The following is a 22,120-nucleotide window of genomic DNA, read 5'->3' on the forward strand; positions in this document are numbered from 1 at the left end:
GGAATGATATCATTGGAAGAACTTTGAAAGCAGGTCCAAATTTTCTAAGGCACAACCTTCGAAATGGAAAACAGTTCTGCAAATTGGTTTGCAAGAGTCATAAATAAACTTTGAGTGGGCAGTTTTAATAAGTGTGCTGCCTGAGCAGTGAAGGAAGTTGAAAATGCAACTGCCCAACTGCTAGCAGCTAGCTGGTCACTGCAAGAAAAGGGAAACAGGGTTCCTGATTCCCAGTCCGGTGCTTTTATTATAAACTTGATCCTATGGTCTGGAAGTCAACCTCGTATAAGTATAAAAATAGCTTCAGAAGTGAAGCTGACTTACATATGAAGTGCAGAATAAGATGCCTCGTCTTCCCAGGCACCACACAAAATCTGGACCTCTAAGCAACTTATCACCATCTAAGGCCATCAAATCAAAAGGAAACAAGAAAGATGCTCCTACCTAGTTGAGGGGGAAGAAGGGGCTTGGGGGCCTGGGGCCTCAGGAGCTGACAGGTAGGCAACTCTTAAAGGTACTGTCATTTTGGGAAATTCTTACTTCCCTTTCTGCAAACCTCCAACTTCCTCCCCCTCCCCCAAGGCCCTTTAGAGAATCCTTCGTTTGCTCCTGGACACACCTTTGTCACTGTGCCTTAGGACAGGGGTCCCCAACCTTTAGCAGTCCCCAACCTTTCTGGTACCAGCGACCAGTTTCGCGGAAGACAATTTTTCCACGGATCAGGGGAGGCAGACTGGGGAAGGTTTCGGGATGCAACTGTTCCACCTCTGATCATCAGGCATTGGTTAGATTCTCATAAGCAGCGTGCAACCTAGATTCCTCGCACACGCAATTCACGGTAAGGTTTGTGCTTCTATGAGAATCCGATGCTGACGCTGATCTGACAGGACATGGAGCTCAGGCGGTCATGCTCACTCAAGGGCTGCTCACCTCCTGCTGTGTGGCCCTGTTCCTAAGAGGCCAGTCCCTGGCTCAGGGGTTGGGGACCCCTGCTTTAGGACAACAAAAGCCAGGGGAGTTCATTTTACTGCAGGTGACTTAAAGGGAGCACTGGTCATCCCACCTACCCGCTTTCCATCCCTGCCTCTCATCTTTACCTGCAATCCACTCCTATGCAACTTTTCCGCCTGTTGTTTTGTGTCCAGGAGTCTCCCGAGTGTTAGAGTTATTTGAATCAGAGCAACTCCGTTCTTGAATAGGGGCTGGGTAAAATAAGGCTGAGACCTGCTGGGCTGCATTCCCAGGAGGTTAAGGCATTCTTAGTCACAGGATGAGACAGGAGGTCAGCACAAGATACAGCTCATAAAGACCTTGCTCATGAAACAGGTTGCAGTAAGGAAGCCAGCCAAATCCCACCAAAACCAAGATGGCGACGAGGGTGACCTCTGGTCGTCCTCACTGCTACACTCCCACCAGCGCCATGACAGTTTACAAATGCCATGGCAACGTCAGGAAGTTACCCAATATGGTCTAAAAAGGGGAGGCATAAATAATCCACCCCTTGTTTAGCATGTAATCAAGAAATAACCATAAAAATGGGCAACCAGCAGCCCCGAGGGTAGCCATTCTTTTATTCCTCTACTTTCTTCATAAACTTGCTTCCACTTTGCTGTATGGACTTAGCTTGAATTCTTTCTTACAAGAGATCCAAGAACCCTCTCTTGGGGCCTGGATCAGGACCCCTTTCCAGTAACACGAGTAATGACTGATGAAGTGTGTGGTCAGTTAGCACTGAGTCTTCGGCAGTCTCCATTTATCTAGCAAACCTTTACCAAGCTCCTTCTACAATCCCAGCAGCATGCTGAATATTAAGGATTCAAGAGACCCAGTCCCGGTTCCTCCACAGCGCAGCACGGGAGTCTGAGAGTAAACCACCAATGCCACCAATGCAACAACTCTGGTCATGAGGGTTTGTTGGGGGTTCAAATTGTGGCCTTGGCAGCCAGCAGAGGGGAGACGAGGGAGGTGTACTTTCCTTAGAGATATGGGGGTGGACAATCCTATGGGTAGGATGCAGGTGAGAGGGAACAGGAAAGACACTGTACATCCAGAAAAACCATGTGCAGAGGAACGAGGCAAGAGACGGCATGCTGGGATGTCTGGAGCAGCAGGAGGCAAAGTTGAAGAGCCAGGCATGGGTCAAACTGTGGAGGAACAGTGAGCCATTGTTACCTGGAGGGGGTGGCGGGCAGTCCTTTTTCTTAGAGTTCCCAAGATGGTGGCGGACCGCTTCCAAGATGGCGGCGGACCGCTTCCAAGATGGCGGCAAGCCTCTTGTTCTCTGACCTGCGGTTCTTGGCATCACAGATTCCAAGGAATGGAATCTTGGGCCATGCGGTGAGTGTTACAGCTCTATCAGAAGCTGTGGGTCATGGAATAAAACTGTGGAACCCAGCGACTAGTGTTTAGCTCGATTAGGATGAACCCGGGCACTTAGGCATGCAGGAACAAAGGCGAGCCTTTAGCCCCATTGGGAGCGGCAATGGGCGCCTCGCTGGATCAGCAGCACAGCAGACACGGTGCGGGATCTGGAGGGGTGGAAGTCAGCGATGGGTCTGCCACAGCGGCAAACAGCAGTGGTGGATGGCGAGCGAAAGCTCAGCTCGAGCAGTAACAAACACGGAGCAGCAGTGTGTGCAGTTGCAAGATTTAATAGAGTGAAAACAGAGCTCCCATAAAATGGGAGGGGACCCAAAGGGGCGTTGCCGTTGCCGGCTTGAATGCCTGGGTTTATATCCCGATCATTGTCCCTCCCGCTGTGCTCTCAGGCAATAGATGATTGGCTATTTCTTTACCTCCTGTTTTAGCCTAATTGGCATTTTAGTGGGCTCTCTTTACTACCTGATTTGTCGGGTGTGAGCTAAGTTGCAAGCCCCATGTTTAAAGGTGGATGTGGTCAGCTTCCCAGCTAGGTTTAGGGATTCTTAGTTGGCCTAGGAAATCCAGCTAGTCCTGTCTCTCACCATCACAGGTGTCTGAGCAGGAGACTGGGATGGTCCAGTTTCTGATTTAGAAAAATCACCTGGGGCTGGAGTGGGGAGAAGAGATGGGTGGAGAGGTGAGCCTGCAGACAAATTAGATCAGGATCCCCACGTGGTCCCTCGGCAACCTTTGTCCCACTTCCACAATCTCTAAATTCTAGAGAAAGTGGGCCCTTGCTGAGATGGTGGCAGCAATCCTCTGAGAAGAATTCTCCAAGGGACCTCTCCATAGGTCTCTTTACACAGAGTTGTGAGTCCATTTCCTGGACCTTTCTTAAACCCCCCAAATAAAGTTCCAGGTAGGAGAACCTGAGACATTGCTAACACACCCTGGGGCAGCAGTTTTCCAAGTGGGGCCCCAGATCACTAGGAGCAGCAGCATTGCATGAGAACTTTAAGATCTCATCTTCTTGAGACCTACTTTATAGGTATTGAACCAGAAACTCTGGGGCCCAGCTACGGTGGGTTTTGTTTTTGCTTTTTTTTTTTTTTTTTTTAGAGCCAGAGTCTTGCTCTGTTGCCCAGGTTGGAGTGCAATCGTATGATTATGGCTCACTACAGCCTCTAACTCTTGGGCTCAAATGATCCTCCTACCTCAGCCTCCCAAGTAACTGGGACCACAGGGGTGCCACCATACCCAGCATTGTGACAGGCTTTCACTTTGCAGAGATGGGATCTCACTATGCTGCCCAGGCTGGTCTCAAATTCCTGGACTTGAATGATTCTCCCACTTCGGCCTCCCAAAGTGCTGAGATTACAGGCATGAGCCACTATGCCCAGCCCCAGCTAGTGTTTTTAACAAGCTCCAGGTGATTCTGATGCAAGGTTCAAGTTTGAGAACCACTACCTTGTGCTAGCACAAACTCAGATGAGTTATATGGAGAACTGATCAGCAGGCTCCCAACATCCTATTTTTGTTTTGTTTCTTTAAGAAAAAGAAAAGCTTCAAGCCTAATCAAAGTCACCACCAAGCAACTTAGATGTTCCATGTGTAGGCTGGGCGTGGTGGCTCAAGCCTGTCATCCTAACACTTTGGGAGGCTGAGGCGGGCGGATTGCTTGAACCCAGGAGTTCAAGACCAGCCTGGGCAATATAGTGAAACCCCATCTCTACAGAAATTACAAAAATTAGCCAAGCCCAGTGGTGGTGCGTGCCTGTAGTCTCAGCTACTTGGGAGGCTGACGCGGGAGGATCACTTGAACCCAGGAGGTGTAGGTTGCAGTGAGCTGAGATTGTGCAACTGCACTCCAGCCTGGGCAACAGAGCTAGACCCTGTCTCAAAAACAAAAAAAAAGGTTTTATTTGACAGACATGGAATGATTATGATTTATTTGATAATCTAGCAAATGATTTTTAAAAACCTACTATTTGCACTGTACTTTCTGGGCAGAGGGAAGAAAGAAATAAAAAAGACACAAGGTTCCTTCCTCCAGTAGGATTCTGCCGTCACCACATCATCAATCATCATCATCATTATCAATCATCATCATCCAAACATCATCATTACTATCATCAATCATCACCATCTTCAAAAAACATCTTTTAATGCTAATGATAGTCACTTATAAGAATCCACGTCTGAAAATCCACAAGGGATTTCTGAGAACTCATTTTGTACCCAGCTCTGTTCCCTAAGGCTTCTGCCTACAACTGATTTGCTGTCTGGTTCAGTCAGAACTTGAACACAAGAAGCAATCAGTCACACAGGGCAGCAGATAATTGTGGGCTAAATGTTTCCAAGCTTAAGCAGGCCTGTGGATTCAAGAGTCCTCTTCCAGCTTTATGCAGATGGCCTTCATTTTCACTCCTTGCCTGAAGCCCTGTATTTTTCTTCTTTTTTTTTTTTAATCCAGATAGTGGCAATCACATGCTACAAGATAAACAAGGTGATGCCCTTTGCATCTCCCTACTCTCTTATCCACAGCAATTTCCCAGCCTATTTTTCAAAAACCCCCAAAGGAATTATTAGGCTGGCTGTGCACGGTGGCTCACACCTGTAATCCCAGCACTTTAGGATGCCAAGGCGGGTGGATCACCTGAGGTCAGGAGTTCGACACCAGCCTGGCCAACATGGTGAAACCCCGTCTCGACTGAAAATACAAAATTAGCCGGGCGTGGTGGCACATGCCTGTGATCCCAGCTACTTGGGAGGCTGAGGCAGGAGAATCACTTGAGCCCAAGAGGCAGAGGTTGCAGTGAGCCAAGATTGCACCATTGCACCCCAACCTGGGCAACAGAGCGAGACTCTGTCTCAAAAAATAAAAATAAAAAAAGATAAAGGGGATTATTAGGCCTATCAGACCCCAAATACTGCCAGAATGAGGCCAGAATTTCCCAGGAATTGAGCTCCCACTCCCCACCCTGCAGGCATTGAGTCATGCGTCTCCAGGAGAGAGCATTTGGCTACACCTTTGGTGCTATCGAGGAAATCATGATGCCCAGTGGTCCACAGCTCTTAGGAATCTGAGCTTCTCTGGGTTTGTCCGTGGACGTGGGGAGAGGAGTCTTTTGGTGCCCTGACTCTAAGAACTTTGACCTTTAATTCTGAAGTCCTGGGCCCCTATCATCTCTCTCCCAAAGGGAGTGTTTGAGGATATGGCAAGTGCGGCATTAACAGATGATTCTAGGAAGAAGAGGAAAAGGCCTGTTCTATAAATAAATGTACTGTTCCTGAATGAGGCACTGTCCTCCTCCCTACTCCCACCCAATCACCCTTGTGACTCTTTCAGAGCAGAGCAGAGCAGCCCCGAGCCAAGGATTAGTGTGATCACAAGGTCAACAATAGATACCCTGTCCATAAATACTCCTGGAGAGCTTTAGTCATTGACTAGGAGCCAGGAGTGGGGGAATAAGAAGAGGGGAAGGGAGAGAGCTGGAAGCCTGTAGGGCTAGCTTGAAACATCTACAGTTGTTTGTTTGTTTGTTTGTTTGTTTGTTTGTTTAAAAAAGCCCAACTTTCCTCCTGAATGTGAAAGTCTCTGGATGGCGTGGAGAAGGGAGGGGACACGGGCTTCAGGAGGGGGATACTGGGAGGGATGGATGAACCCCAGAGAAGGACTCTTGTTTTTAGGGTGGTTAGCTTTATCCTCAGAGCACAGATCTGCCCCCAAAATCTTTGTTAAAAGAAACCCAAGAGCTGGCCGGGTGCGGTGGCTCATGCGTATAATCCCAGCACTTTGGGAGGCCAAGGCAGGTGGATCACCTGAGGTCAGGAGTTTGAGACCAGCCTGGCCAATATGGTGATACCCTGTCTCTACTAAAACACAAAAATTAGTTGGGCGTGGTTGTGGGCACCTGTAATCCCAGCTACTTGGAAGGCTGAGACAGGAGAATGGCTTGAACCCAAGAAGTGGAGGTTGTAGTGAGCCAAGATCATGCCACTTACACTCCAGCCTGCATGACAGAGCAAGACTCCACCTCGAAAAGAAAAGAAAAGAAACCCAAGAGCTGGTACCACCAGCAATTTCAGAATCTCTTTTGTTATATCTTCAGTAAGCAGGAAGAGAGAGCCAGGCTCCTGCATTGATAAGGCTGGGAAACAGTTTAATATCTAACCTTTTTGGATATGAGGACCAATGAAGCCAAGCGATAATCTGTTGGAGGGGCCTGTTCTGCGGGTTCTGAGGACCCCGGGGATCTTTAAGTCCTCACTTTCTTTTTGGGCATGAACATTTGGGTGTTGCAGGCAGATAAAAGTGGTGGGGGAATGTGATCAAGAGATGGAAAGCTGCGTGTAGGAGCGCACTGCCCACCAGCATTGCACCTAAATAAAGAAGGCCACGATGTGCTGTGACAGTGCCACAGAACTGATAGTCTGCATTTTCACCAGGCAGAGGGGAGGACAGGGGGGTGGGTCGGCTTTACTGTCACCAGCAGAGAACTTCCAGAGCAGCTTGGATGAATCATCTGGTGCACACGCACACTCAACATTTTAAAATATGGATGATGGGGCTGGGGAGGCGCCAACTCACAAAAGCTGACTGTTGGGTACATAATTTTTTGGACCCGGTGTGTCTAATTCCATCTTCAATTATTGATTCTTTTGATCCCTTTCAAGTGAAACTTTAAGTGACTTATCTAAAAATAGGCTACTGCTAAGCTTATGTTAGAAGGAGGTAAAAACCTAAGTTATTTAAGATGATGTGGCTAATGTAAGTGACTAATCAGAAAACAAATTAGCTAATTGGTTGTGGTCACAATGTTATTAACATTAGATGCTACTAACATCTTTGTTTTGCCTTTTTTAAAATTTTTTAAGAGACAGAGTCTCACTATGCTGCCCAGGCTGGTCCTGAACTCCTGGCCTCAAGAGATTCTCCTGCCTCAGCCTCCCAAGTAGCTGAGATTACAGGCATGAGCCACTGTGTCTGACTGTTTTATTTTTTAAAACCAAAGTTTAGGGCGAGGCATGGTGGCTTACACTTGTAATCCCAGTGCTTTGGGAGGCCAAGGCAGGAGGAGTGCTTAAGACCAGGAGTTGGAGACCAACCTGGGCAACACAGTGAGACCACTACAGAAAACTTAAAAATTAGCTGGGCCTGGTGGCTCACACCTGTAGTTCCAGCTGCCCAGGAGGCTGAGGAGGGAGGATCGCTTGGGCCCAGGAGTTCGAGGTTACAGTGAACTATGATTGCACCACTGCATTCCAGCCTGGGCAACAGAGCAAGAACTTGTCTCAAAAACTTAAAAAATAAATAAAAATAAAACCAAGGTTTAGGTTCTGAGTTCCAGGGTGAATTTGTGTTTATAATTGATATTCAGAGCAAAAATTCACCATCCCTTTGTCCCCATGTTGGAGAAAGGGCATGGCTTTAGGTGGACAATAGATCTGAAAAATGTTGCCATTTCTTATCCCCAGAAACAAAAAGCCACTGAATTAAATTCCTTATTTGTCTTTGGAGACACAGGTTCTACTTCTGCAGAAAAGATGAAAGCAGATTCTGGCCAAGCAAACGAGAATGTAAGAAACTCTTACGAGATTCAGAGGTCAAAAGCTAGCTAAACGTAGCTGTAAAGGACTTTTTTGTGTGTGTACTTGGAGCTATGTGAAGATGGACTCTACAGGAGGTGATAGTTAAGCAATACTAATGCCTTGCTGTGATCTAAAAGGCTAAAACTTGCTAAGTCAGTCCAGTTACAGATGTTTTGCACCAGATTATTATGTACAATGAACTTCATGGGCCCCTGCTCTGGAAACAGCATGTCCTCTGTATTAGATTAGTGAGCCAAGACATAAATATATGGAAAGCTAAAAAAATAACAAAACAAAAAGTCAGCTGAAATTTTTGACCATTAAGGTAGGAGAAACACTGACTTCAACTTCACCAAGAAGCTGCATTTTGGGCTGGGCGCCATGGTCACCCCTGTAATCCCCCCACTTTAAGAGGCTGAGGAGGGGCTGGGCATGGTGGATCATACCTATAATCCCAACACTTTGGGAGGCCGAAGCAGGCCAGATTACTTGAGGTCAGGAGTTCAAGACCAGCCTGGCCAACATGGCGAAACCCTGCCTCTACTAAAAATACAAGAATTAGCCAGGCATGGTGGTGGGCCCGCGTAATCCCAGCTACTCGAGAGGCTGAGGCACAAGAATCGCTTGAACCTGGGAGGTGGAAGTTGCAGTGAGCTGAGATCACGCCACTGCACTTCAGCCTGGGTGACAAAGTAAGACTCTGTCTCAAAAAAAAAAAAAAAAAAAGAAGAAGAAAAAAAAAAAGTTGAGGAGGGAGGATCGCTTGAGACCAGGAGTTTGAGACCAGCCTGGGCAACATAGTGAAACCCTATCTCCAAAAAAGTAAAATTAAATTAAAAAAAAAAAAAGAAGTTGTCATTTGCTTGATGCTTAAGACCAAATGAAATCACCACAATTAGGATTTATGAAAAGAAGGGGCATCACCGTTTATAGCTTGATTTAAAGTTTTCACATCTTTCTTCAGAAATTGGTCATGGTTACATCTCACCTGAGCTGCAGCCAGCTGTCCTCTTCTAAGTTGTGCTGCTTGTGACGCAGGCGCAGGCAATGGCATCCACTTGGCAAAGCTTCTGAATCAGCCGTATCCGGAGAGCAAGGGAACTTGGCACCATTGGTCTTCGGCACGGGGAACACATCTGCCTTCAGTTGTCCCCATCGTGACTTTTTTCAGTAAGCACTCATGCAACAGTAATCAGTGACAGCAGTTCTCAAACCTGGAGAGCAGAAGTGTGCAGACTGGTCCTAGATGTATTTCCCTGGCCACCTCTTTGCTACCCCGGGCCACTTCTGCCCCACTTTCTTCCGAGCAGCAGCTGCTGAAAAGGCAGGAAGGGCACTCATTCTGAAGGTATTTCTCAGCACACGGCAAGCCCTTTGACAGGCAGCAGAGAAACCACTTTGAGCACTTGGCAGGGTCATTTTCTGATTCTTTTTCTTTTTTTCTGTAACCCTTAACATCTGGTAATTTTGGGATTCTCTTTTGCTTCATCCTCATTTGTGGCCCAGTCCATGATAAGCAGACACAAGCTGGTAGGAGCCATGCATTGACCTTCAACGTCAAGGTCAAGAGACCTTGAAAAACATCCGTAGCTTTTGCTGCCTGTAACATACCGTCCAGTGCTTGATTATATAGCCCTAGTTTATCTTCTAATTATGTCTTGCCTATCAATGTGTCAATTAACAAACATCAATTGGTGCCTTCTATGGACAGAGTCATGATCTCCCTTCCCTAGATATAGGAAACAAGTTATTTACTTTTTTATTTTCCCCCACCTACACTCCGCAGTGCAGAGCACTTACCCGGAAATTATTGGAAGTTTTCAAATAGGGTCTCACTCTGTTGCCCAGGCTGGAATGCAGTGACACAATCATGGCTCACTGCATCCTCAACCTCCTGGGCTCAAGCAGTCCTCCCACCTCAGCTCCCTGAGTAGCTGGGACTACAGGCACGCCACCACACCCAGCTAATTTTTAATTTTTTTGCGGGGGGGCGGGGACAGGGTCTCGTTCTGTTGCCAGGCTGGAGTGCAGTGGCGTGATCTCAGCTCACTGCAACCTCCACCTTCCGGGTTCAGGTGATTCTCCTGCCTCAGCCTCCTGAGTGACTGGGACTACACGTGCATGCCACCATGCCCAGCTAATTTTTGTATTTTTAGTAGAGACGAGGTTTCACCATGTTAGCCAGGATGGTCTCAATCTCTTGACCTCATGATCCACCCGCCTCGGCCTCCCAAAGTGCTGGGATTACAGGTGTAAGTCACCGCACCCGGCCATTTTTAAATGTTTTTGTAGAGATGTGGTCTTGCTATATTGCCCAGGCTCGTCTTGAACTCCTGGCCTCAAGTTCCTCCTACTTCAGCCTCCCAAATTGCTGGGATTACAGGTGCAAGCCACCATGTCCGGCTTTAGCAGGAATTATGAAGTGACAAATTCTGTCTCTGACAGTCCTGCTTCAAGCAGCTAATGCATCCCCTGGTACCATCTGTGATTGGATGAGGACTGTGGAAATGGTGCGGACACTGTAGAATGATGAGAGGTGGCTAACAAGTAAATAGGCTTCAAAATAGCTTGTGCCCCATAGGTATTTTTACTTGCTCAAACTCCTTCCAAGTTCCCTCCTTGCCAATGGGGCTCAACGTGTGGATGTAGCTTATGTTGGGAATACTGGCAGCTCAAAGACAGATCTGCTATAAGTCTCAACTGACATGTTCATTAAAATCCTCATGTTTGTAATCCTAGCACTTTGGGAGGCTGAAGCAGGTGAATCACTAGGTCAGGATGGCCAACATGGTGAAATCCCATCTCTACTAAAGATACAAAAAAAAAAAAAAATTAGCAGGGCGTAGTGGCGGGTGCCTGTAATCCCAGCTACTCAGGAGGCTGAGGCAGGAGAATTGCTTGAACCTAGGAGGCGGAGGTTGCAGTGAGCTGAGATCATGCCACTGCACTGCAGCCCGGGTGACAGAGTAAGACTCCATATAAAAAAAAAAAAAATAGAAATTCTCACTGAGCTTCAAGCATCTGGTTTCCTGCTCCTTTGGCAAAACTATCATGTGTAATCTAAATATGCAAAACAGGGGAAATCCGTTCTTTTTACACAATAAAGTACTCCAAGCTCTGTGCTCAATGGTAGGGAATAAATATGAGTAACAAAGGGTCATGTGTGAACAGGGAGAGATGCATGTAAACAGACACGTGCTGTCAAACATTGAGGATGCAGAGGAGGGAATCATCCATTTAAAACAATTTTTTTTTCTTTAGTGATGGGGGTCTCACTATGTTGCCCATGCTGGCCTCCAACTCCTGGGCTCAAGCTATCCTCCTCCCTCAGCCTGCCAAGTAACTGGGATTACAGACATGAGCCACCATGCCCTGTGGGAACAGTCCATTCTATCTGGGGGGTAGTGATCAGGAAAGATGAGGTGACATTTGACCTTCGGCTTGCAGGATGTGTAGATTTTTGTTTGATGATGGATGGCGTAGGGAATGCTGTACCCAGAGAGATGCATCCTGAGAAAAGACATGGCAGAACCCACGAGGCAACCTGGAAGTTGCTTGGCATGGCCAGGCAAAGGAGATAAAGAGACACAAGGAAAAATAAGGATGGAGCGAAACATGGGGCGAGAGCATTCAGGGCCTTGTAGGCCAAGCTAAGCAGTTTAGGTGTTAACAGCAGGCAAATGGGAGCCACTGGAAATTTTTAAAACCCAGAGAGACATGATCAGATACTTGTCCTGGAAAGACCAACCTTGAAGCCATGTTGAAGAAGGATTGAAGAGATATGGAAGGCCCAGGGAGACAGGTCACCCTCCTGATTAACACTTTTCAACAGCTTAAGGTAAAATCCAGACTTCTGGCTGGGCATGGTGGTTCATGCCTGGAATCCCAGCCCTTTGGGAGGCCGAGGTGGGTGGATCACCTGAGGCCAGGAGTTCAAGACCAGCCTGGGCAACATGGTGAAACCCCATCTCTACTAAAAAAAAACCAAAAAAACAAAAAACAGCTGGGTGTGGTGGTGCATGCCTATAGTCCCAGCTACTCAGGAGGCTGAGGCAGGAGAATCACTTGAACCCGGGAGGTGGAGGTTGCAGGGAGCTGAGATGGCACCACTACACTCCAGCCTGGTGATGGAGCGACACTCTGTCTCAAAATAAATAAACAATAATAAAAGATCCAGACTTCTCATTGTTGCCCAGAAGGGCCCTGCCCACTTCTCCATGCCACCTGGTTCCACTTTTCCTCTCAGAGCAATATGGCAACCGAAGCCCCTCCAATATGGCGAGATCTTTTCACCTCAGGGCCTTGCATTTGTTTGCTGTTTCTCTTTCTTGGAGTGTTTGTCTTTGAGCTCTCTCTGCGAAACTTTCTTCTCAGTCTCAATTTTAATTTCCCCTTCTTCAAGCAAACAGTTATATTCTTCATATTGCTCTGATACATCATAAACATGGGATTCTTTTGTTTGATTATTGTCTTTCGTACCCACAAGCTTCATGAGGGAAGGACTCATTCCTATCTTATTCACCAACATGCCCCCAGAGCCTGAATGAGTGAATGACCCAAACAAGGACTAACATGAGCCTGAACTAAGGCGAGGAGGAGCCAGGAGCAGGGAGGAGGAGATGGAAGGGGTGTAGGCAGTGGGAATCGATACGGCTCGATGACTAATTGGCTGTGGGTGGTGAGAGAGAAGGAGTGACAATGACATTTCGGTTCCTAGCTTGAGTGACGGGGTGGAAGTTATGTCTTTATTATAGAGACAGGGAATGCAAGAGAGAGAAGTTTATGAGACAAAGTCAACAAGGCGAGTTTTAGGTATATTAGGTTTGGGGCATTTGGAGGTAGAAGACCAGCGTGCAATTCGATACAGGAATGTAGAGAGAAGTAGAAAGGCTCAAGCTGCAGACACATACTCAGGAGCTGTCCACATGCATGATGATTGCAGTCAAAGGAAAGACATCCATCAGAGGAAAATGGAAAGGGTATGGGTGCAAAGGAGAGGAGACATGAGTGCAGTTTCTTTCTGAGAATGCATCTCTCTGAGGGATAGAAGGGACATTGAGCTGCAGGGACCTGCCAGCCTTCCCCGTGCCTCCTAGGCGTGGTTTGCTCCCAGGCTGACTAGATGAGAACCCATCATGGCAGAGCTCAGAGAAGAGCATGTAGAAGGCCAAGTGGGAGACATCTGCCCTTGCCTGTCCTCTCTGAGAAAAAGACAAAGGGTTTCAGTCACCCTGGGACCAATTAAAGAATGATATCCAGGCCAAGTGCAGTGAGTCATACCTGTAATTCCAGCACTTTGGGAGGCTGAGGCAAGAAGATTACTTAATCCCAGAAGTTTGAGACCAGCCTGGGCAACATAGTGAGACCTCATCCCTACAAATATTTTAAAAAATTAGCTGGGCATGGTGGTATGCACCTGTGGTCCCAGCTACTCTGGAGGCTAGGTGGGAGGATTGCATGAGCCCAGGAGGTGGAGGCTGCAGTGAGCTGTGATTGCACCACTGCACTCCAGCCTGGGCAACGGAGTAAGACCCTGTCTCAAAAAACAAAACAAAATAAAACAAACAAACAAACGAACAAAAAAAAGAGTAAGACCCTGTCTCAAAAAAAAAAAAAAAAAAAAAAAAAGGCATGACGTGCACAACAGCTTTTAACCTGCTGCACTGAACATGGGGATATGTGGGCAGGAATTTTATCAATACAGTTGGTGCAGTTGAGACCAAGAACCACATCCTCAGTCCAAACAATACTGTCTCCTTTCAGAAGTCTACTCTCTGTAAGAGTACATTCATACAGGTCCACTTACAGAGTGCCCTATTTTACCTGCTTATTTAAATAAGGTGTATTTCAAATAACAATAGGTTTAACTCTTCAATGGAGAAAGGAGAATATAAATCATCATCATCATCTTCTAAAACAATACTACAATGAGCTTTTTTTCCTCCTAGTTTTTTCCCCCTGACCACAGGCTTTATAAAGCATAGTCAAAATCATATATATATATATATGGGCATATATATATACATATATATATATGGGCATATATATATACCCATATATATACATATATATGGGTATATATATACACATATATATACATATATATGGGTATATATATACACATATATATATGGGTATATATATACATATATATGGGTATATATATATACATATATATATATGGGTATATATATATACATATATATATGGGTATATATATATACATATATATGGGTATATATATATACATATATATGGGTATATATACATATATATGGGTATATATATATGGGTATATATATATACATATATATATGGGTATATATATATACATATATATATGGGTATATATACATATATATATATGGGTATATATATATACATATATATATGCATTTATGTGTGTGTGTGTATGAAATGTATCTTGTGGCCAGGCACAGTGGCTCACACCTGTAATCTCAGCACTTTGGGAGGCCGAGTGGATCATTTGAGTTCAGGAATTCGAGACCAGCCTGGCCAGTATGGTGAAACCCCACCTCTACTAAAAATACAAAAATTAGCCGGGCGTGGTTGCGGGAGCCTGTAGTCCCAGCTACTAGAGAGGCCGAGGCAGGAGAATGGCTTGAACCTGGGAGGCGGAGCTTGCAGTGAGCCGAGATCGCACCACTGCACTCCAGCCTAGGAAACAGAGCAAGACTGTCTTAAAAAATAATAATAAAATAAAATGTATCTTGCTTTTTAAAAAATAACCCATATGACAACATATAATTTTTCAAAATTATTTTACTTTTATTAATTATGGTACATCATAGTTGTACATATTTATGGGGTACATATGATGTTTTTTATTTTAGAGTTGGGGTCTTGCTATGTTGTCCAGGCTGGTCTCGAACTCCTGGTCTCAAGTGATCCTCTTCTTTCAGCCTCCCAAGTAGATAGGACTGCAAGTGAGAGGCACTGTGCCTGGCATCTTGCTTTTTTTGGCTAAACATTATCTTGTAAGCTGTTTTTTCCATACACCCTCAGCATTTTGATGATGGTATGATACTCTTTTCCCAATTGTTGAACATTTAGGCCATTTCTAATTGTTCTCTATTTTAAATATATATAATTATTTTAAAAATCATTGTCTATTAGTTTGCTAGGGCCACCATAACAAAGTACAACAGACCTAGGTGGCTTAGGCAACAGAAATTTTTTTTCTCACTGTCTGGAGGCTGGAAGTCCAAGATCAGGGTGGGAGCAGGGTTGGTTTCTGCCCAGGCCCCCTTCCTGGGCTTGCCATTGGTCACCTCCTTCCTGTGTCTGCACTGTCTTTCTTCCGTATTTGGGCATCCCTGGTGTTTCTTTATGTGTTCAAATTTCCTCTTCTTATATAAACACTACTCAGATTGAATTAGGGCCTATTTTAATAGACTCTGTTTAACTTAATCACCTCTATAAAGGCCCTACTTCCAAATACAGTCAATTTTGAGTTACTGGCGTTAGGGTTTTAACATGTGAATTAGGGGTTGGGGGGAGGCATAATTCAGTCCCATAACACATTATGTTCAATTTTTTCTCACTTGCATTTTAGATCATTTTCTTTGGATAGATTTCCAGAGTGGGAATCACTGGGCCAAATGATAAAAATATTTTAAGGCTCTTGAAAACTGCTTTTCCAAAGAATATAACAATTGGTTCCACAGCAGCCTGCTTAAATTAAAAAAAAAAAAAAGTAAATGGACTGGGTGCGGTGGCTCACACCTATAATCTCAGCACTTTTGGAGGCCCAGGAGGGCGGATCACTTGAGGTCAGGAGTTTGAGACCAGCCTGGCCAACATGGCGAAACCCTGTCTCTATTAAAAATATGAAAATTAGCTGGGTGTGGTGGCGGGTGCCTGTAATCCCAGCTACTTGGGAGGCTGAGACAGGGGAATCACTTGAACCTGGGAGGCGGAGGTTGCAGTGAGCTGAGATCACTGCACTCCAGCCTGGGCAACAGAGTGAGACTCCATCTCAAAAAACAAGCAAGCAAATAAACAAACAAAAAAACAAATAAAAAAAACAATTTTGTGAGCACTGCCTTCAGCAAGAAAAGGGCAAGGGGAAACAAAGTCATGAAAAGCTTGAACTGAATCTGTCCCAGGGCACCAAAAATTCTGCTTCCCATGGAGCTCTTGGAAATGTTTTTTTTTTTTTTTTTTCAGAGACAGGGTCTCACTCTGTCACCCAGGCTGGAATGCAGTGGTGCAATCATAGCTCACTGCAGCCTCCAATTCCTGGGCTCAAGTGATCCTCCACCTCACTCTCCCAAGAAGATGGGACTACAGGTGTAGAATCATGCCTGATTAATTTTGAAAATTTTTTGTAGGGTGGGAGTTTTGATCCATTGCCCAGGTTGGCCTCAAACTCCTGGGCTCAAGTGATCCTCCACCTCACTCTCCCAAGAAGATGGGACTACAGGTGTAGAATCATGCCTGATTAATTTTGAAAATTTTTTGTAGGGTAGGAGTTTTGATCCATTGCCCAGGTTGGCCTCAAACTCCTGGGTTCAAGCAATCCTCCCTTCGGGGCTGCACAAAACAGTGGGATTACAAGTGTGAGCTACCTTGCCTAGCTGTTGAAATGTATCTTTATTAAAAATCAAAATATAACCAGGAAACAGAAAGTGAGTATATGAACGGTGAAATTGTTACATATCCTATCTCATGCCATTCTTATTAGTTGACTATTGTCTTTTACTGAAAAGCAACTCATGCCAGAATCAACAAGAACTTTTGTTTTGTTTTGTTTTGTTTTGAAATGGAGTTTCGCTCTTGTTGCCCAGGCTGGAGTGCAATGGCGTGATCTCGGCTCACTGCAATGTCTGCCCCCCAGGTTCAAGTGATTCTCCTGCCTCAGCCTCCCAGGTAGCTGGGATTACAGGCGCCTGCCACCATGCCCGGCTAACTTTTGTATTTTTATTAGAGACGGAGTTTCATCATGTTGGCCAGGCTGGTCTTGAACTCCTGACCTCAGGTAATCCACCTGCCTTGGCCTCCCAAAAGTGTTAGAAGTGAGCCGCTGCGCCTGGCCTAACAAGAGCTTTAAGTATGGCAAACTTGTACCTTTGAGGTGTAAAATTAACTCAGCATGATAATTCCTGGCCATTACCTACCTCACAACTTCAAACAGTTTTTTCAAGAACTAGGCATGCAGAAATAAATGGTGGATTTCATTGAAACCTAAAGGCATTTTTGAATGACATTGTCACCAACCATTAATTGGTTCAGGACCTTTGCAATTTTTATTTAACTTGAGTTGTCTTTTTTTTACCATGCTTTTTTCAATGCATTGCTCAGTATTTTTTAAGTTTCATGAACGCATGCTCAATTCATTAGATTCCATGACTGTAATATTTTGATGCAGCATTTTGCAAATTAAGTTGCATTTTCAGAGCAGTTCTGTATGTTCTGTGATACCATCTTTTCAAAGAGAAACCTTTAAAACCTTAAAAACAAAAGAAAGAAAAACGAGGCCGGGTGCAGTAGCTCACACCTGTAATCCCAGCACTTTGGGAGGCCAAGGCGGGCAGATCACGAGGTCAGGAGATCGAGACCATCCTGACTAACACGGTGAAACTCCGTCTCTACTAAAAATACAAAACATTAGCCGGGCGTGGTGGCGGGCGCCTGTAGTCCCAGCTACTCGGGAGGCTGAGGCAGGAGAATGGCGTGAACTTGGGAGTCGGAGCTTGCAGTGAGCCGAGATCACACCACTGCACTCCAGCCTGGGCAACACAGAGAGACTCCATCGCAAAAAAAAAAAAAAAAAAAAAAAGAGAAAAAAGAAAAACAAAACTGCCCCAAACCATAGAAAACTCTTAGGTGTGCGGTCCTTTTTCTTGTTCTCATTTTTTTTCCCTTTCCTTTTTCTTGTCAATAACAAACATTTGCCAGAGTCTACAGATGCTAGCTAAGGAAGGGCTGAGATGGGGTGGAAATGGGTCGGAGGTGGGTGTCGGAGGGGACTGAGGGTGGGGTGGTTACATCTACAGATCTGGTGATATTTTGTCTTTTAATAAAGATGCATTTCAACAGCCAGGCAAGGTGGCTGCCACCTGTAATCTCACAGCTTTGGGCAGCCCAGGAGGGAGGACTGCAAACTCCCAGGAGTTTGAGGCCAGCATGGGCAACAGGCTTTTTCAGAAAGGAAAATCACCTGTCACCCAGAGGACCATGGAAGGGATCATGTGGGTGAGTTGGTGAGAAGGAAAATCACACACACACACACACACACACACACACACACACACACACACAGGGGGTGGGGTGGAGGAGAGAGAGGGAGAGAGAGACAGAGAGAGAGAGAGAAAGAGAGAGAGAGAGAGAGACTCACTGAACTTGGTAAGTTGTTAAAACTGTCTTTGAAACAGGAACTTGCCTTGGCTCCCCTGAACTGAAGAGTACAGATCTCGCCCTCCTCTTTCTCGCAATCACCTTGCCTTTTAAAGCTGTTGCTGGAGGTAGCTTCCCCTGGCTAGGGAGGAGCTGCTTTGTTGTTCAGAAAGAGTCGTTCTTCCAAAACCAGGAGTGGGGTAAGGGGAGGCTGCAGACCCTCAGGGGCTCCCTCGGGGGGTGCCTGGGGGGATCTCTGGGGGAGATCTTGTCGCTTTGGTTATCCTAAGAACCATATTTTGAGGTGGGGATTCGAACTCCCCTTATATTAAGAAGAAAAGTTGGGGGTAGGGTGCAGAAATTTTGCCAAATTACAGATGGAGCCACCTAGAACCAGAACAATTCCCAAAGGACGTCCTCCCACACCCGCAGGAAGGCCAAAAAAAGGCTTGAAATTCAAATTATTTTTGGTGCTTGGGAGATGAGAGGGAGTGAGAGAGGGCAGCAGCAGTGAATGGGAACTGAAGGGGGAAGAAAAAACAGAAGGCTTGGTCAGTATCATTCCGAAGAAACAGGTCAGGAGAGCACCAAGGACCCTCAGACATGTAGTTGGACTTGGAATACTTTTATTATGTGTCTACAGGGTAGACTGTAAAGGAGAATATTCACACATTTTACATAAATGTAGTTTTCGCTGTAAAGAAACTGCTGCTCTCCCTCCTCTTTTTTTTAGCCTCTGTTTCTGGGATGACAGGACAGAGGTGTCTATTTCTCTCTGCACCTCTCAAACCCCTTTCCTGACCCAAGTTTCCTCCAGGAGCCTTCTTCCCTTTATGAGCATTGGCAGTTTTGTTGTTTTGTCTGCTTACATTTTGCTTTGGGTAAGAAGGATGAAAAAAAGGTAGCAGGGTGGGATGGAAATGGAGCACCCTGTGAGAGGCGAGAAAGCAGTAAACTGATTTGAGAATTGGGCAGAGGGAAAGGGGAGAGACCCTTGTGGAAGAACTGTCTCGTTTATTTTTATTTATTTATTTTTTTGAGGCAGGGTCTCACTCTGTCGCCCAGGCTGGAGTGCGATGGTGTAATCTTGGCTCACTGCAACCTCCGCCTCCTGGGTTCATGCCATTCTCCTGCCTCAGGCCTCAAAATAGCTGGGACTACAGGTGTGAGCCACCATGCCCAGCTAATTTTTTGATCTTTTGTAGGGACGGGTTTTCACCATGTTGCCCAGGGTGGTTTCAAACTCCTGAGCTCAAGCAATCCACCTGCCTCGGCCTCCCAAAGTGTTGGGATTACAGGCGTGAGTCACCATGCCCGGCCTGCACATTTTTTAGGTATCAGTTTTTCTCATCTCTTTCATCTCTTCAAAAGAGTGACTTGGATTGCACAGGATTCCCAGGTAGATACTGGACACCCAGCTAAATTTGATTTTCGGACAAACAGCAAATGACTAAAAATCTGACATGAGGATTCTGTACATTTGAAGCAGTTCTTTTTTTTTTGAGATGGAGTTTCGCTCTTGCTCTTGTTGGCACGATCTCGGCTCACTGCAACCTCCACCTCTCGGGTTCAAGCAATTCTCCTGCCTCAGCCTCCCGAGTAGCTGGGATTACAGGCATGTGCCACCACACTCAGCTACTTTTGTATTTTTAGTAGAGACGGGGTTTCACAATGTTGGTCAGGCTGGTCTCAAACTCCTGACCTCAGGTAATCCACCCACCTTGGCCTTCCAAAGTGCTGGGATTACAGGCTTGAGCCACCGCGCCCGGCCCGAGGCAGTTCTTAAATCACCTCTACAGTGGTGTTTAAACAGTGGGTACCCAGAGGGCACGGTTTTAAGGGACTCAGTGTCTAGATCTCCCTGAGATGCAGTGAAGGCCAGTTCACACTGGCTTCTGCCTTCCCACCTCTCCTTTCCCAACAGCCTTCTCTCACTTCTAAAAACGGAAAGAAAGACATGGCGACATGGCCGTGGGTCGTAAAAACCTTCAGGGCCAAGACAAGGGACAGTGAGAAATATCCATGTTTGTGTTGAGACAGGAAAGCCTTTTCTAACTGAGATACAAATCCTTTCACAGGTTAAGCGGTTCCCAATTCATTGCTATCCATAAAATTTGGAAAAACCTAATTGAATTGTCCACGAACAGATCAATCATTAGAATTTTTTTTAAGAATAAACTTTATTGGCTGGGCACAGTGGCTCAAGCCTGTAATCCCAGTACTTTGGGAGGCTGAGGCGGGCGGATCACCTGAGGTCAGGGAGTTCAAGACCAGCCTGGCTAACATGGTGAAACCCCGTCTCTACAAAAATACAAAACTTAGCCAGGTGTGGTGGCGGGTGCCTGTAATCCCACCTACTTGGGAGGCCAAGACGGGAGAATTGCTTGAACCCGGGAGGCAGAGGTTGCAGTGAGCTGAGATCCCGCCACTGCACTCCAGCCTGGGCGACAGAGTGAGACTCTGTCTCAAAAACAAACAAACAAGCAAGCAAAACTTTATTTTGTAGGGCAGTTTTGGGATCACAGCACAATTGGGTGGAAACTAGAGAGTGTTCTCATTATACCCCCAACCCCACACATAAAAAGCCTCCCCACAGAATAATTTTTGAAGGAAGCTCTCTAACATAATTGAATGACATTACCAAATACGGCCCTGCTGAAAAACAGATCTCAGGTTCCCTGGCAAAAGTGGATTTAGTCATTCCAGGATCCCTCTTGAAACCATAAGCCTTTCTGGGTTATGTCCCAGTTTTCTTGCCTCTCTTCAGCCCTGGACATTGTCATAACAAAAGTCCTTGTAGCCTCATCTACGTATTAACGTGACCAAAGCTGCTCAGAGCTTACATTCGTAAAAATGAGAAATAGGGAAAGTATTAAGGCCAGGGGCGGCGGCTCACACCTGTAATCCCAGCACTTTGGGAGGACGAGGCAGGCCTCACTTGAGGCCAGGAGTTCCAGGCCAGCCTGGCCAACATGGTGAAACCTTGTCTCTACTAAAAATACAAAAATTAGCTGGGCGTGGTGGCAGGCACCTGTAATCCCAACTACTTAGGAAGCTGAGGCAGGAGAATCGCTTGAACCGGGGAGGCGGAGGTTGCAGTGAGCCGAGATTGTGCCACTGCATTCCAGCCTGGAAGACAGAGTGAGACTCCATCTCAAAAAAAAAAGAAAAAGAAATAGGGGAAGTATTGATGCTACATCCTGCTCATTATTGCAATAAGTAATATTAATTAATGAATATTTAACCTCATTACATATACTTGTTTACTGTAGATGTATGTATGTAAATATATAAACATACATATATTTAAAAATCCATCTCATCCATCTCATTAAGAGAATGATTTCTAATGCTATTTTACTGTTTTGTGTTTAACTATCAATAAACTATATTTTTATCTTGTTATTAATAATTGTAATGATGACTTAGTCTCAAAAACTATTTTAACACTTAGAGCCTTATGAACACAGGATGTTTTTTAACATTGTAAAATCAATTTACATATGCATTTTTGTTTCAGAAAATATGATAGGGCAATCAATAAAAGATGTTCAAGCATAAAAATAGCTGACATTTGGATACAATTCTTTAGAGAAAGTGGAATGAAAGTATAGTTCAAGGAAGAAAGGGGATGATTTAACATTTCTGGCTGTCAAAGAACCGCTTGTTCAATTTCAAAAATGAGTGACAGTGTCATATTACTATGGTACTTAGATTCTATTGGATACATTAAAAACAGTGATATGACAGTTTTATTTCAAAACATCCCATGCTAACAACTGCAGAATACATCCCTTGCGAACACTTA

At 45.4% G+C, this 22,120-nt stretch overlaps 2 annotated features.

Annotated features, from left to right (window-relative positions):
* Positions 1,675-2,874: an enhancer, noted in NCBI's record as "MED14-independent group 3 enhancer chr8:38724712-38725911 (GRCh37/hg19 assembly coordinates)". NCBI's record gives its function as "activates an origin of replication core promoter dependent on BRD2, BRD4, P300/CBP and CDK7 cofactors, and independent of MED14, by STARR-seq in HCT116 cells {active_cell/tissue: HCT116}" and the evidence as "EXISTENCE:reporter gene assay evidence [ECO:0000049][PMID:35650434]".
* Positions 2,038-2,539: an enhancer, noted in NCBI's record as "H3K4me1 hESC enhancer chr8:38725075-38725576 (GRCh37/hg19 assembly coordinates)". NCBI's record gives its function as "activates a minimal SCP1, AML or CMV promoter by ChIP-STARR-seq in naive H9 embryonic stem cells {active_cell/tissue: H9 hESC(naive)}" and the evidence as "EXISTENCE:reporter gene assay evidence [ECO:0000049][PMID:30033119]".

This window comes from Homo sapiens, chromosome 8, assembly GCF_000001405.40.
Source record: "Homo sapiens chromosome 8, GRCh38.p14 Primary Assembly".
Lineage (NCBI taxonomy): Eukaryota > Metazoa > Chordata > Mammalia > Primates > Hominidae > Homo > Homo sapiens.